Source organism: Homo sapiens, chromosome 20 (assembly GCF_000001405.40).
Source record: "Homo sapiens chromosome 20, GRCh38.p14 Primary Assembly".
NCBI classification, from domain to species: domain Eukaryota; kingdom Metazoa; phylum Chordata; class Mammalia; order Primates; family Hominidae; genus Homo; species Homo sapiens.
In genome coordinates this window covers 19262850-19278849 of record NC_000020.11, presented here as the reverse complement: position 1 = coordinate 19278849, position 16000 = coordinate 19262850, and the positions used below count along the sequence as shown (strand labels likewise).

Genomic DNA, 16000 nt, shown 5'->3' with positions numbered 1-16000 from the left:
CACATGTAAATTTAGCAAGATATCAAATTACAGTTTATGCATATCATCCAGGAGAGCCCCCCAGGTTTTTTTCCCCAAAAAATGGAGGAAGGATGTGGAGTCTAATGAAAAGAAACAATAATTTCAGACTCTTGAAATACAAAATTCTACATGGCGGCCACATGTATCAGCTTAGCCCAGATTATGAGGACAATATCAAAGATAATTCGAGGTTAAAGCAAGGCATTTGTGTAGTTTGGATAACCTGAATGGTGGATTCTAATGGTTAAGAATAGTGATGAACAGAGACAAAAAAGTTTCAAAACCTCATGAAGAAACGTTAAGGTTAGTAGCCTTAAACTCCCATATTATCACAAATAATCTGAAAGTGTGGAGAAGGGCATCCCCTCTGTTTCAGGCTGGGTTTCCCCAGAAGCAGCCCCTGAGAGAAGGATTTGTGAGAAGGTGGTTTATACGGGAGGTGATCCTAAGAAGAATCGGTAGAAGAGCAGAGTAGGACAGGAAATGCTAATAGTAGGTGCACTTTAAGTCAGTTGCCATCATGAATAACTAGAAACTGATCTCTCTGGATAGCTTTGGGGGCCAGCGTAGACATGCATCTCAGACACCTAAGATGTGAGGAAGCTTAGGTATTCATCCACCTACTCCTAGTCTAACATTGGTTGAAGCTGATGAAAGAGGACATAATCCCCCAGCATTTCTAATCTGCCACATGGATGTCCAAGGTGATGCCCAGAAAAAGGCCTTGGGCAATGACAGGAAGGTGCTAGAAGCTGCACTGTGCCAGCTGGCATTGAAGAGGTCAGAACCAAGTAATATCGGTCGAGCACCACGGCATCTGCCCATCTACACAGTACCTAAAGAGAGAGTCATGCTGTGGCCAGCAGCGTGGCCATTCCACTGTTCTCTGGGTCAAGGAGAAATGCTTTGTGGTACTGTAATCTTAATGCTCAGGAAGACCCCAAAGATTTAAAAAGAAGCAGGAGTATCCCTTCCAATGACTTCCAAAGTTCCTTCATATGCCAAGTTTCCATGGTTCCGTAATTCTGAGAGAAAAGCTGATACCAATTAAGAGATGTAAAAATAAAGCCAGCTATTGTAGCAGAAAATTAGAGGATTTTTAAACATAATGATTCAATATCTTCAGGAATTAGACTCTTAAGGCAGCACCTCTGGATTCCAAAACCTGCAAACTTTTATCTCAACAAAAGTGTATTTGACCACTGATGGCTGATGTAATAACACAGAGACCAGAGTCTGAGAAAAGAAGAATGATGAAGCAATGCATTGCATCCATTTCCTTCCCACAGAGAACCAAGTTTGACAATATTATAGCACAGTTCATTTGTCCTCACAAAACTCCTGCTGAGCTAGGAAGAGGCAGTTGGTTCTAGGGTCAATTTACTTTTAGAGTACATAAGTCAGAGGATAAGCAATTTGCCTAAGATCAGAGCCAATCCGTGGCTACATCAACTATCATTTCGTAGTTAGCATGGCTTCCATTCACTGAATGTCTGTGATGTGCAGAAACCTTTCCATTCTTCACCATGTTTCATCTTCATGGATGAAAACCCTACATGGAAATACTAGTTCCATTTTGTAAATAAGGAAATTGATAGGCAGAGAGGTTAAATATCTTGCCCAAGGTCACACAGTGAGCAAGTAGCAGAATGAGGATTTGAACCCAGGTATAGTGACCTCAAAGGACAAATTCTTGGTAGATCCTGGGATAGGATGAAATCCATCCTGGTTTAATTATACAGCTATAGTAAAGTAGCTCAATAATGCAGCCTGCACCTTATAATAGGCTAGCAGTGAAGAGGTAAATAAGTCTCACTGGTCTTATTTCAAAGATGGTTGTTTCCTCAGAAATTACAGTCATGCACTGCAAAATGACATTTCTGTCAGCGTCGGAGGGCATATATAAGAGTGGTCAATTTTTTTTTTTTTTAATTAGAGACATGGTCTGGCTCTGTTGCCCAGGCAGGAGTGCAATGGTGCACTGCAGCCTCAAACTCCGAGGCTCACATGATCCTCCTGCCTCAGCCTCCCCAGTATCTAGGACTGCAGGTGCATGCCACCACATCCAGCTAATTTTATTATTTTTTGTAGAGACAGAGTCTCACTATGTTGCCCAGGCTGGTCTCAAACTCCTGGCCTCAAGTGATCCTCCCACCTCGACCTCCTAAAGTGCTGGGATTATACGCACGAGCCACCACAGTCAGCCCCATAAGATTTTAACACCATATTTTTACTGTCCCTTTGCTGTATTTAGATATGTTTAGATACATACATATTTACCACTGTGTTACAACTGCCTACAGTGTTCAGTACAGTCAGTCACTTGCCGTACAGGTTTTTAGCCTAGGAGCAATAGGCTATACCATCCAGATTTATGTAAATACATTCTGTGATGTTGGTACAAGAACAAAATCGCCTAACAGTGCATTTCTCAGAACATATCCCCACTGTTAAGGGACATGTGACTGAATTGGGAACAGCAGTGAGGACGAGCATCCCCCATGAAAGGTTCACAAACGAAGAAATAAGACACTTCTAAAGTCCCACTGCGTGCAACTCACTCTGCTCAGTGTGATTTCCTAGAGACTGGGCTGGTCCCACAAATTATGACATGGAGGGCTATCTTCTTGCACTTAGGGAGGAGGGGCAGAGGGTGGGCAGCTGGGAAGGCTTGGAGGGTGGGAAGGTGAAGGGGATACGGAGAGGCGCCCACACTGGCTATCCTCCCTGCTCTCCCCTCGCTCACCTCTCCAGCTTCCTTGGATTTCTCTGCTACAGCAAAGAGGCCGCTCCACAAAGCTATACTTGAGCAATGTCAACAAAAACACTTGGCCCCTGTCCATGGCATTCTTGGCTCCTCATCTGCCAGGCCCTGGAAGTTGCATGTTGGCCTAATTAGTCAGGGGAGGGGTAGGGGATGAAGAGGGGAGGCAGCAGGCTCACATGTCACATGTCACGGGTGGAGGCAGTCTGCAGGACTGCAGGCTCTAAGAAGAGGGGACAGGAGTGGGCCATGGGGATAGCACGGGATGTTGGCTAGAAGGGGAGGAAACCAAGCTCTCAACTCGAAAAGCAAGCCGCATGCACTAAGGAAGGACACAAAGTGAGGCTGGACGCCAAGTTTCCATTACAGAGCTGTGTGCTCACCCTTTTGTGCTCTCCTCCCTCCTCCTCCCCTACCGCCCTCCTCCCCACAACTGGGGCTTAGAGAGCCCAAGGATTTCTGACACCAAGAATGGATCTCCCTGCATGCCCCCTGACAAACAGCCTTGACTAGCAGCCTTCACCCTAACACTGTCTCCTATGTGAACCTTGTCCCACAGGGCTTGCAAACCCTTCCCAAACACTAGCCCCAGGCCTGGTGGAGAGGTGGAGCTGCCTGCTCTCTGATAAGAGGTTTAACTCCTTCAGACACCGCGGTGGCAGCAGATGAGGAAGTTTGCTGCATCATCAGCAAAATTATCTTTTATGCCCCTTATTATGTGCCAAGCACCCTTCCTATACCATCTCACTCCATCCTCTTGCAGGGAATGCTGATGCAGGTAAGCAGCCAAGCCAGGACCCTAGGCCAGAGCTGACTGCAAAGCTCAGGTATGTGTTTCTCACCTGTCCCAGAGCTCCAGGAGCCCAGGGAAGTGGCCTTAGGGGCATAGCAGCTCCTTTTGAGAGGACGTATTAACTCTCCCCTCCCTGTGAACTGGAATACTGCTTTTCTTTTTGAAAACTGGGATGCAGAGAACCATCTGGCTGAAGCACTCAGAGGGCCATGGCAACAGCCTCCCATTTGCAGATGAAGAAACTGAGTCTTGTAAAGCCGAATGCAACACTGGAGAAAGAATGTCTGGAAAACTCAGTTAACGGCACAAGAAACACAGCCAAGGGCGGCAGCACTAACTCAGGCTCTCTAGGCTGGTTTGGTGCTCCTCACTAAGGCTATAAATACCCCACCCTACAGTTTACACAGCTGCCTCCACTCTGTACAACCCGGGTCTTCACCCTGGGGTTGGAGGTCAGGTTTGCATAAGCCCGCAGCCAGCGGACGCCTTCTGCAGACTTGAGTGAGCAGCACTGCTCTCCAAATGACCCCTTTCCTGCCCCTCCCCCTGAAGTCTTGGAAGGATGAGCCTGGTGTCCTCACCCTCTGTGGATGAAGAGGGGAGCAGTGGAGGCCCTGGCTTCGTACAGGTAGATTTTTCTCATGGGTTTTCCAGCTGAAGCAAGAGCTTCCCTGTGCTTTTGTTCAAGGTCCTTGGAAAGGAGCACCAATTGTGGAGAGGTTGCAGCCCCCAAAAGGAGCTCTCCTAACCCAGAAGGAGAGGAGGATGCTGGAGGCTAACAGGGCCACACATCCCCCAAACAGACCTCTCCTAACCCAGCAGGAGAGGAGGAAGCCAGAGGCTAACAGGGCCATACATTCATTCCCCTCAACTGCCTCAAAGCTTCCAGAAAGTCAGAGAAGGGAATATCCAGAGAAGGTGGCTGGGAGAAGATCTCCAAGCCACAGGAGGCGATAGGTTCTGTTTAAATTGTCTTCCATGAGCTGTTTCCACAGCCTGTCCAGTGGGCAAGGGGATGCTGAGAACACCCCCTTGGGCTGGGTCAAGGTCTCCCTCTAATGTCCCCAACTCAGCGGCGGCAATCACAGGCATCAACTCTTACACTGGATGTAAATTTCTCACCAGTGTCAAGGCGCTACACCTCCACTCCAAGAGGAAAACCAGATTGAAAGTTGAGCGTTTTCAGTCCCTTCAATAGGACAGGCCTCCCTTTAACCCAGAGGGGAAGAGGGGAGAAGGCAACCCTAGCCACCTGCCCACTTGAGGCAGGGCACTTCGTGCCTTCTCCCCTCTTCGCCTTTGGATTAAAGGGAGGCCTGTCCTATTGGAGGGACTGAAAAGGCTCAATTGATACTGGCAAGAAATTTACACCAGTTAAGAGGTGATGCCTGTGATTGTCGTTGCTGAGTTGGGGACATTAGAGGGAGACCTTGACCCAGCCCAAGGGGGTGTTCTCAGCATCCCCTTGCCCATTGGACAGGCTGTGGAGACAGCTCATGGAAGAGGATTTAAACAGAACCTATGGCCTCCTGTGGCTTGGAGATCTTCTGTCTTCTGGATGGAGTCCCTGTCTTCCAGTCAGAGGAGGAGCAGCATTGGCACCTCCTGGGGCTGGACCAGAGTCAGAATCTGCATCTCACAAGATCCGCAGCAGATCCCTGGGCACCCTGGAGTCTGAGTTACTGCTCCCAGACCCTGAGGGGCAGCCCTCCTGGCAGGATCAGCAAAGGGAGACTGCAGAGCCTGCAAGCACCTGGCAGAGGGCTGCAAGGTTCAGGGAAATGGTTTCCACCCCCAGTGGCTGGGCTGGCGGCACAGAGAAAGCAGAAGTCCTGATGGAGAAAGGGAGAGGGGTGGCTAAGCCAGCAGCTGGGACTTCAGGGCTCTGATGTGAGGCTGTGGGGTTCACCTGTGTCTTGCACCCTGGGAGAATGGCCCCATCACCAGTCCCAGTGCAACTCCCCTATGGGAGGGCAAAGAGAGGCCTGGCTCTTTCTCTACTTCCCATCAAAATCCCTTTGCCTTCCTGTCCGACATGACACCGACCCCTACATGGCCTCGCCCACACTGGCCTAGGTTAGGTATGAGGAGGGGAGACTGGCTGAGCCCCTGGCAAGGGTGGCCTTGGGAACAAGGGATGGCCCAAAGCACCTGGACCAAAGCCCTGAGCCAGAAGTCCAAACTGGTCCCAAGGGCAGATTCTGCTATGATTGTTGGGCAGATCGAGGCAAGCTGGTTGTGAGGGTGGCACAAAGATGGGAAAGCCCACATATTCTCCCACTTCTTCTAGAGGGAAGCCCTTCCTCCAGGAAGCCTTCCTGGACCCTCCAGGACTTCCTTCACAAAAACCTGTCCATCTTTACTCCATCACCCGTCCCTGACCCCCACCCGCAGGTTGTAAGCTCCAGGGAAGTTCAGTTATGTTTTTTTCTTAGCTGTGTCTCCCCACCTCCCAAAGTGACAGCCTGGATGCTGTAGCCATTGTGTCCCAGCACTTCATTAGAGCTACCACCTGGGTAATCACTGAACCACCAAGGGAGGAGGGAGGCACAGCGTACAGAAAAGATCCCAGGTCCATGGGTCCCACCCCTCAGGGCCATGCCCCTTGACCTGGGGATTAAGTTTAAATGATAAGCCCAAGAATTTTAGTGGCAAGCTTGAGACAGAATCCAGATTTTCTGGGTTGCTGGACAAAACTGTCTGCATGACAGCCTTGCTTCTCAAAGTGTGGTCCCTAGACCAGCGGCATCAACATCACCTGCAAGCTTGTGAGACAGGCAGCATGCTGCATCAGAATCTGCATTTTCACAAGGTGACTCATGTGCCCAGCAATTCTGCAGAAGCCTGACAGCCTGTGCTTACCTATTTTATCCCAGCTCCACTCACAGACATTGTTGCGTGCCTTCAAAGTTCCCGGCACAGTGCACAGCTTGATCTCTCCATCTCTAAAGCCCAATATGCAGTCTTCAACATCCCCAGGACCAGGAAGGCCCCTCACTGAGACCACTGGAGTCTGAGTTACTGCTCCCAGACCCTGAGGGGCAACCCTCCTGGCAGGATCAGCAAAGGGAGGCTGCAGAGCCTGCAAGTGCCTGGCAGAGGGCTGCAAGGATCAGGGAAATGGTTTCCACCCCCAGTGGCTGGGCGGGCAGCACAGAGAAAGCAGAAGTTCTGATGGAGAAAGGGAGAGGGGCCTAAGCCCCTGCTGAAGATACTTCAGCATCCACATGGGAGTGGCCACCTGAATACGCTTTCTCCCGTATCTGCCAACAGTCCTCTTTTTAAAAATTTTTATTTCAATAGTTTTCGGGGAATAGGAGGTTTTTGGTTACATGGATAAGATTTTTAATGGTAATTTATGAGATTTTGGTGCACCCATCATCTGAGCAGTGTACACTATACTCAATGTGTAGTCTTTTATCCCTCACCCCATTCCCACCCTTCCCTCCAGGTCCCCAGAGTCATTCTTATGCCTTTGCACCCTCATAGCTTAGCTCCCACTTATGAGTGGGAACATACAATGTTTGGTTTTCCATTCCTGAGTTACTTCACTGAGAATAATAGTCTCCAACTCCACCCAGGTTGCTGCAAATGCCATTACTTCATTCCTTTTATGGCTGAATGGTATTCTGTGGTGCATATATACCATATTTTCTTTATCCACTCATTGGTTGATGGGCTTTTAGCCTGATTCCATATTTTTGCAATTGCGAATTGTGCTGCTATAAACATGCATGTGCAAGTGTCTTTTTCATATAATGACTTCTTTTCCTCTGGGTGGATTCCAAGTAGTGGGATTGCTGGATCAAATGGTAGTTCTACTTGCAGTTCTTTAAGGAATCTCCACACTGTTTTCCACAGTGGTTGTACTAGTTTACATTCCCACCAGCAGTGTAGAAGTGTTCCCTTTCACCACATCCACACCAACATCTTTTTTTTTTTTTATTTTTTAATTATGGCCATTCTTGCAGGAGTAAGGTAGTATCACACTGTGGGTTTAATTTGCATTTCCCTGATCATTAGTGAGGTTGACATTCCCATTTTGAAATTGCTTCAGAAGGCTTCACAAAATCAAGTCCCAGCATCCTGGTTTCAGAGCTTTCTCTTTTCAGAACATCCCTATCTTTCTCCATTGAACTACTAAATAACGTAAATGTGGTTCTTCTAATGACCTATAGGGCTGAGCCCAGGAGTTCTCTGCTCAAAGCCTGCCTTTCTTGTGATGGTCTTCAGGTATTTCAAGGGCCCAAGCTCAGCCCCAAGGCAACACCTGCTCCTCAGGCTCCGCTTCCTCTGGCCCTTGCTGGACTTCAAAAGCTCTCCTGCCACCCTTTGCCTATTGATGTCTTTCCCCAGGTTTCACAATCTGTAGTAGCTCAAAGCTCAGGGATGTTGACTGACCCCACCTGATGAAGACCCTTCCTCTCTCTCTCCTCTCTTCTAGTATCTCTCTCTCTCTCTTTCTTCCACCCCTTCTCTTCCCCCTCCCCCTCTAACTCTATCTCTCTCCCACACTCACATACATACAATGTCCAATATGGGGTTTCTTCTTACAAAGTATGGAATGTTGGTGTCAAATTCATATGTGGAAATCCTAACTCCCAATTGGGAGGTAATTAGGTAATAAGACCAGAATACATCCACCAAATCCCAAGAATGGGATTAGTGCCCTTGCTAAAGGGACCCTAGTGAGCTCTTTAGCCCTTTCTCCACCACATGAGGATACAATAATATATCAGTATGCAATTCAGAAGAGGGCCCTCACCAGAACCTGACCACGCTGGCACCCTGACCTTAGGCTTCCAGGCTCCAGAACTGTGAGGAATAAACTGCTGTTTTTTAAGCTGCTAAATCTGTGGTATTCTGTTATAGCAGCCTGAACTAAGATATGTCTCAAACTCTAAAGAGCATGCATGCATGTAATGTAGGGACCTTCTTAAAATGTACACTTTGAGTAAGGAGGTCTGGGGTGGGCACCGAGATTCTGTGTTTCTCAAGAGTTCTCAGTGGATGCCAGTGCTGCTGGTCCAAGCACCACTTTGAGCAGCTGGGCTCAATTACACATTTTTAAGTGAATGTACACACACATGAAAGGATCTGAGTCACTAGAAGCATATGCAAATGTGCACCCCAACTGGGCTGTGTTTCAGAAAGGAAAATGCAAGTTCAGGAGCAATGCATTGTGTAGTAGCTCCAAGCAATCCCAGGGACTCCCAATCAGGCTGGACAGAGCAGCCCCAATGAAATGGGTGCCGTTGGAAGAGAAATCGTAGGAATGGAAGCGAAGAAGATGATGTTCTGACCGGTAGTGGGTTCTGTCCAGCAGGAAGAAGAGTCATGATGAAGGTATGCATGCAGGATGTTCTTCTCTTCATGCAATAACTCTGTAGACCTACAGTTAACCCCCGTTGAAAGAATGAGCCTGCTGGGTCTCAACTATTATTATACGGGCCTCAGGAGCAAATACTATAATTGTGTGCCCACCTCACCTGATGATGGAGAGTGAAATGAACCACGTTTCTCAGGCAACAGGGGGCATCTGTGTCAGCCATACCCCACCCACTACCATTATACTGAATGACACTCAAGTGCAGGAAGCCAATTCAACTCAACCTGTATAGGTGTTTGTGCAGTGGGTCTCACAATGAAGACAGCTTTCAGCTTTCAAAGGGTGCTGGAAAGAAGGGGAAAGGGAAGAGCAAAGGGGGGCAGATGGCAACAGGTGCACCCACAATTTAATGGAAACAATGTGGGCCTCTGGCCTAGAAATTGAAATCGCCTTTCAGACAGAAATTGTCAGTTAAATGCTACTTGTTATCACTCTTGGGCTACTCTTTGACCACCTGGCCTGAGATCTAACATGCCAGGGAATACTGGGAAATTAACAGAGACACATCTGGTAGGTGAGTGGTTACCTATCCCCTTCTGAGCTCCTGAAACACTCCCCAGGATAATTTCCCACATTTGAGAGGCAGAAACTCCCAAATACCATGATGATCAATCTAGGTCTGTGCAGTCCAAAAGGACCCTGTGCAGTGATGGGAATGTCCCATATTTGCACTGTCCAACATGGTAGCTACCAGCCACATGTGGCTGTTATTTACTTTAAATAAGACTATACAACTGGAAGCTGAATTTTTAATTTTATTGATGCAAATCTAAATTTAAATAGACACATGTGGCTAGTGACTAAACTAAGGACTGGCCTTATCCCATAATCTGAGTCCCCTATTCCAAGGCCAAGAACCAAGGCAGAACCCCAATCTGTCAGAAGACTGCAGTGGCAAGAGGAGACAAAGGAAAGTGCAATGGCCTTTAGATAAAGGTTACTAAACATTCTGATGAGACAAAGAAGATGGAGTTTGTCTGACTTTTATTTTCTTCTAGCCTCCTTCTTTGCCTGGGAAGAAGAAAGCCAGCCAGTCTCACTGGTAGAAAAGAATGGAAAGGAGCATCAATACTGAAAACTAGCCTTAACCCCTTTTAGCCAAAAGAATGATAGTGACTTGGTATAGTGATCTTGCATAGTGATGGCATAGAAGCATCCCAACCAGGATTTAAAGTAAACACAACTCAAGTTGACCAAGAAATCACATGAGGCCCCATGGGAAGATACATGGACTTATGATAGCAGAAATTTGTCATCTTGGTGATGTGTCAATTTGGGTTTCTAGTCTCAGATCTATCATGAACTTTAAGCTGTTGGAGAAGTTGAATCACTTTAGCCCGATTACCACATCTGGATATTAAAAAGCATGAATGAGCTGACCTCTAAGGTCCTTTGCGTTTGGACTTTAAGAGTCTTTTTTATTAAATCTATGGTAGAATAATATGTTCAAAAGCTGGTAGGGTCCCCCACCTTCAGAATTGTGTGCTACTGGAGGATGAGCTACATAACTTATTGGAGATTGGAAAGAAAATATTGGAACCTTTATATCACATTCCACTCTAAAAATAAGAAATACATATTTATTTAATATTTAAAATATGAATTCACAATGGCACCTGCACCGAGTGCACTTGTCAGCATATCCCATAATTTACATAATAGAAGTGCACCTGTTGCCCACAGCAGGTGAGGGACCTGAAGGAAAAGCACAGGATGGACCTGGTGCCCTTCCTAGCTCACCTACTTTCCTATTATCACAGCATGATGCACCTTACATGGGCTCAGTTGAGCAGATTTGCCAATATTATTTGAAATATTAAAATATTACAATATTTTGAAATGAGATGGGGACATGATCATGAAATCTTTTTACACCATGCACATGTCCATTGATTGTCTTTTGGCAAATAATTTTTTAAAACTGTTGAACTTAGAGATGAATTATGCATTTCTCTCTCATAAAAAGACAAGTGATATAAATATGCTAACCTTTTCTGGGAAGACATGGCCACCAGCTAAGTGTGCACCTAGCGGATATTTTCAGAAAACACACTGCCCCCCATGTCTGCCCTCGCTCCACATCCCTCAAGGTGACTTTTTAACAACCAGTGAAAGAGTAAGCTTTTCTAAAGAAATTTGCTCTATGGAGAGAGCATTTTGAAAATAAATATCAAGACTTTTTATGTCTTCATATGATAAATCATATCAAGAAAATGATAAAAATCAGTACATTCTAAAAACGTGTATGTTCCACTTAAAAATTTGGAATCAAAATTACATAACCTGATTTAAAAATTCCCAAAGAGTTTCAATGACTTTTATTAGAAAATTGAAATTAAAATTCAATGTCTTTTATTTTAAAAAAATGGATTTTTATAAATCAATTTATTAGAAATATGTAAATGCAACACCTTCTGAAAAGTTGCAAGATTAATCTACTGAAGTCAGAAAAGATGGGAAGATGTTAACAACAGTCTTTGGGTAATTGGTGAATGAAACTGAAAATTTAATATCTTGATTTAGTAGTTATAGCCCATAGTGCTTTTCTTCCATTTGGATCTATATATCTTGGGGAATTATCTATTACAAGTAGGACAGCCATTAAACTTCAAACTTAAAATAAACAACCTTAAATTAAAATAAGCAGACCTTCTGTTAGCTGTATCTCAAAGTATGGAACTAATATTTTCAAAATGGTTAAATATATTCTATCATGTTTTCTCAATAAGATACTACCATAAATATAACAACATTAACATCATCATAGTTTAGAAAAATCCACGTTTTGTTCTGTTAAAATATAATTATTATTTTTAAATGGTTCATTTCATCGCTATTTTATTCCTATTACATTTATCTTTCATTGTATATAAAAATCTGGGGCAGATCCAGGTTTTATGGGACCTGAAGTTTATGTAATATTGAGACCACTTTTTTAAATATAAAATTTTACAAATACAAAGATAGGTATAAGGCTTAAAAATAATATCTCATTATACATATATATACATAACGTATATTACAATATTTCTTAAACATAATTTCTTAAAAAATATACTTTCCTAAGGATCACAGCTTCATAGTCCATTCCAGCTGTACATATGCCTTGCCTCAGGCTCTGTTGATATACTCCGAACACTTGTATTTTTCATACATCTAATATATTTGCCCCTGCAAACCTGCCAAATGTGTTTCTTCAGTTCTCTTTAAAACTCACTTTTTTGTTTCCAATTGAGTAGAATTTGACAACTCTACATCACTTGGCTTCTCAAAATCACTGCCACTTCCATCCTTTGTGATTGGATAAACAGTCCAATTTATTTATGAGTATGAGTATAAAATTGTCTGCTGTTTTCTCTCAGGCTGTCTTGTCTCTGCCATTATAGAACAGGGCAGGAAATCAGTCTTTCCTTAATTCTGGGCTTTTCTTAATTCATGCCTAGAGTACAGTTATCACCAATGAGTCAGGCAGAGGGAAAAGAAATACAGTGGTTTCTTCTCCACAATCCTGACTGGAACACCTTTCTTCAAAAGTACCAAGTATCGGGACTCTCTAGGGGTGAGGAGAAGAAAGAGCAGCTACCATGTGAACAGTGAGAAAGCACGTTTCATCTGCTCACAGAGTAATAAGAAATGTGCCTTCAAACAATTATTACATTGCAGTTATCTATGTATGATTCTTATTTCCCCTATTAGACTATAAGCTTCCTGATGACATCATTTTTTTTTCTTATTGGCCCCAGTACTTGCACAGAGGAGAGATTCAATAAAACTCCACTGGGAAATTTAAAGTGTTAACTACACTGCAAGTTTGGTGCCTGCACTTCCCCCTCCCAGCATCCCCTCTCCCTTGGTTAGAATCAACCTCAGATTTTCATTTTAGGAGAGACCCCTCCCTCCTGCCAAGTCTACCTGTTCTGGGAGGAAGCTCCACCCACCCACTGCACCACCAGCAAAGATGCTGCCTGAACTAAAGGCCAAAGTCCCACATCCTGTAGGCCATAATGATTGGTTCTGAGAGGTGCCTGTAACTGAGCCAGGCCAATCAAAGCAGAGCTCCCAGAAAGAGACTCACCCACTCTGTCCCAGTGACCTTGAACCTGGAAGTAGGAGAGCCTGGAGGCTGAGAGTCCGCAGATGGCACATAAAGGTGAGTACAGTCAGACCAAAGGACAGAGATAGGCAAGGTCCTGATGTCATCACATTTCAGCCCCTGATACCTGAAGCCAGACTAATCATAAACTTTTCGATTCCATGTTGCAATGTATTCCCTTTTTAGCCTGAGCCAGATTGGGCTGGCTTTTTTCTAAGAGCACCTGAGAAGCTCATAGCTGATACATGCTTCTACTTTTTAAAAAAATCCCATCCCATGTAAAGTCTGTTGAAATCCCAAACAGAACCCCAGTAACGCTCTTCCCCAGCCCTTCCTGGCTTCATCCTGTGTCCATCGTAGTGCACTGCTGTGCAGAGAGCTATTTCTTTTCTTTGCATGAATGTCCCTCCCCATGCCATGAACACAGAGCCTCTCAAGTGGCTTCTATGAATCACAGTAATAAAGCTCTAAGAGCCCTGGGGAAATTGTGAATTAAGATGGCTATGGGACATAAAAGTTTCAAGTACAAGCTACAAGGGGAGAAGGCTGGCCACTGATGGTGGAGCAAGACAGTTGACACCTAGCCCCCCAAAATACCTGGCTAGCCTGGGCCAACTGACAGCAGAGGCTGGCTCAGTCACACAAACAAAAGCCTCAGATGTCATTGTAGTAGTGCAGTAATGCTTTACGTTGCAATATAGTGTTTGCAACGTTGAAAGGTGTCCTGGTTTGGGTTTTCCAACAGCCAAGTCTGAGACAAGGACTTGGGTGCAAGTAGTTTATTCTGGAGAGAATCCCAGGAAACAGTGAAAGAAAGTGGAAAGCAAGACAGATAAAGGGGAAAAGCATATATAAACATGCATTACAAAGGTTGCTGCCACTGGTAACAAGACCAGGATCCCTCTGGAAGCTCAGACATGCATTGAGAATGCTTCCCAGAATTGTCCACGTGAAGAATGAGGCTGTGGCTTCCGTTCCTCACTAGGTGAGGTTTGCTCCAGGAGCACAAACTCCCCAGAGTCCAGGCTGCACGTTTTTGTTTTGTTTTTTTTTTTTTTTTTGAGATGGAGTCTCGCTCTGTCGCCCAGGCTGGAGTGCAGTGGCGTGATCTTGGCTCACTGCAACCTCTGCCTCCCAGGTTCAAGCAATTCTCCTGCCTCAGCCTCCTGAGTAGCTGGGACTACAGGTGCATGCCACCATGCCCAGCTAATTTTTTTTTTTTATTTTAGTAGAGACAGGTTTTCACCGTGTTGCCCAGGCTGGTCGCGAACTCCTGAGCTCAGGCAATCCACCCGCCTCGGCCTCCCAAAGTGCTGGGCAGACTGCACTTTTGAGTGAGTCAAGCTGGCTCCCACCTCTCAGGAAGGCCCTGAGCCAGGAAGCAGAGAGACACATAGCGTATGCTTGGGGCAATGCTGTATTGCAATGAGAGTCTGAGCTTACACTGAACTGCCCATGGCACCTGAGGCTGGCACCAGAGGAGAGCCGAGGGTCTGTCTTGAGGGACACCAAGTGATGTCAGCCCTGAAGGTAACCTTGACCTCATCTTGGAAACAATGTCTCTTAAAACAAGTGGGAAGATGTGTTTGGTCCAGAGCCATAGAAGTGGATAATTTTTTTTTTTTTTTTTTGACAGGGTCTTGCTTTGTCACTCAGGCTGGAGTGTAGTGGTGGAAATTAGCTAGCTAGAACTACAGACGTGCACCACCACAGTAAGCATTTTTTTTTTTTTTAGAGATGGGATTTCACTATGTTGCCCAGGCTAGTCTCGAACTCCTGTCTTAACCTCCCAAGTCGCTGGGATTACAAGTCTGAGCCATCACCGCCCCTGGCCCATAGATTTTCTGATAATGTTTCTCTCTTCTCCTTTCACCATTGGAACTTGACACCAGAACTAAAATATCCTCTTGATGCCTCACAGTGAGAAAGACAGAACTGAGGGGAGGATAGGCAGTGAAGCTTTCGTTTAAACACAAAGCCACTTTATTCTTCTCACTTTTTCCTATTCTTTGGCCCATTGCTTGCAACTTTCCAAGTTGGAACTGAAACCAGCAATAGGAGAATAGCAAGGTTGAATGGAAAGAAAGATAGATCCATGCCCTCTCAGTTTCAGCCCAGAGTCTGAGATCCACTGATAGGTAAGGGAAGGCAGGGAAAGGAGAGAGGATGTGGCTCAGTCAGACCAGGAGGGGTTGATGCAAGCAGGACTTTCCTGGCCACCACCTGCGCCTGAGAAACGGGGAGGCTTGCTTTGCATATTTCAGCCAGAGAGCAACGCCTCTCTCACTCTCATCCCTAGTGAACCCCTATATTTCTAATTGATTAGGCATTTGCCTAAATAATCAGGCTTTTTTTATTTTTCAGACTCCTGACAAGGAGCACTGGTATCTAAGTGCAGACTTCCAATAACGTCCCCCCTTGAAAACAAGCAATATTCAGCATGTAGGTTTGGCTGTGTGCCCCTAGCTGAGGGCTTCTGTCTCATTCTTCACAGTTTGCTCTTTGCGTGGCTTTCTGCTTCCTTCTCTCCAGCCCACATTCTCTCTCCAAAGCCACATGAGACTGTTCCCTTCTCAATGCTGTGAGCTACCCTGCTCATTGCAGCCACTACCAGCCAAGGTCAGCAAGTCATCTGATGGGAAGCCAGAAAGAAAATCCTTTTCCATTGTTTCTAAAAGTGAAAGAAACAGGAACAAACGTGGGGGGGTCAACAGAAAACACACACACACACACACACACACACACACACACACACAAAGGCTGGAGTGGGTGATGGAGCGAGGGATTCTAGGAACAAAGGGGCGTGTCTGTCTCTTCTGGAATCCCATACGGTCACTCCATGGCAGCAGGATGAGTGGGTGGTGAAAGGGCAAATGGCTCGGGGCAAATATTGTGACTATAAGGACACACGCAGCTTTGTCAGTGCCCAGCACACAATCT

General features: G+C 45.6%; 1 protein-coding gene and 1 long non-coding RNA gene across 2 annotated transcripts in view; one reads left to right on the top strand and one right to left on the bottom strand.

Moving 5' to 3' along the window:
• SLC24A3 (solute carrier family 24 member 3) overlaps window positions 1–16000 on the bottom strand; it is a 510285-nt gene that overhangs the window by 444077 nt on the left and 50208 nt on the right. The gene's annotated exons all lie outside the window — the stretch shown is intronic.
• Window positions 1–16000, top strand: part of SLC24A3-AS1 (SLC24A3 antisense RNA 1) — a 42295-nt gene that overhangs the window by 5747 nt on the left and 20548 nt on the right. Inside the window, exons 3-4 of the long non-coding RNA NR_024564.1 lie at window positions 12851–13117; window positions 14697–14772. This is a non-coding gene — a long non-coding RNA (SLC24A3 antisense RNA 1). The remainder of the gene's footprint in view (window positions 1–12850; window positions 13118–14696; window positions 14773–16000) is intronic.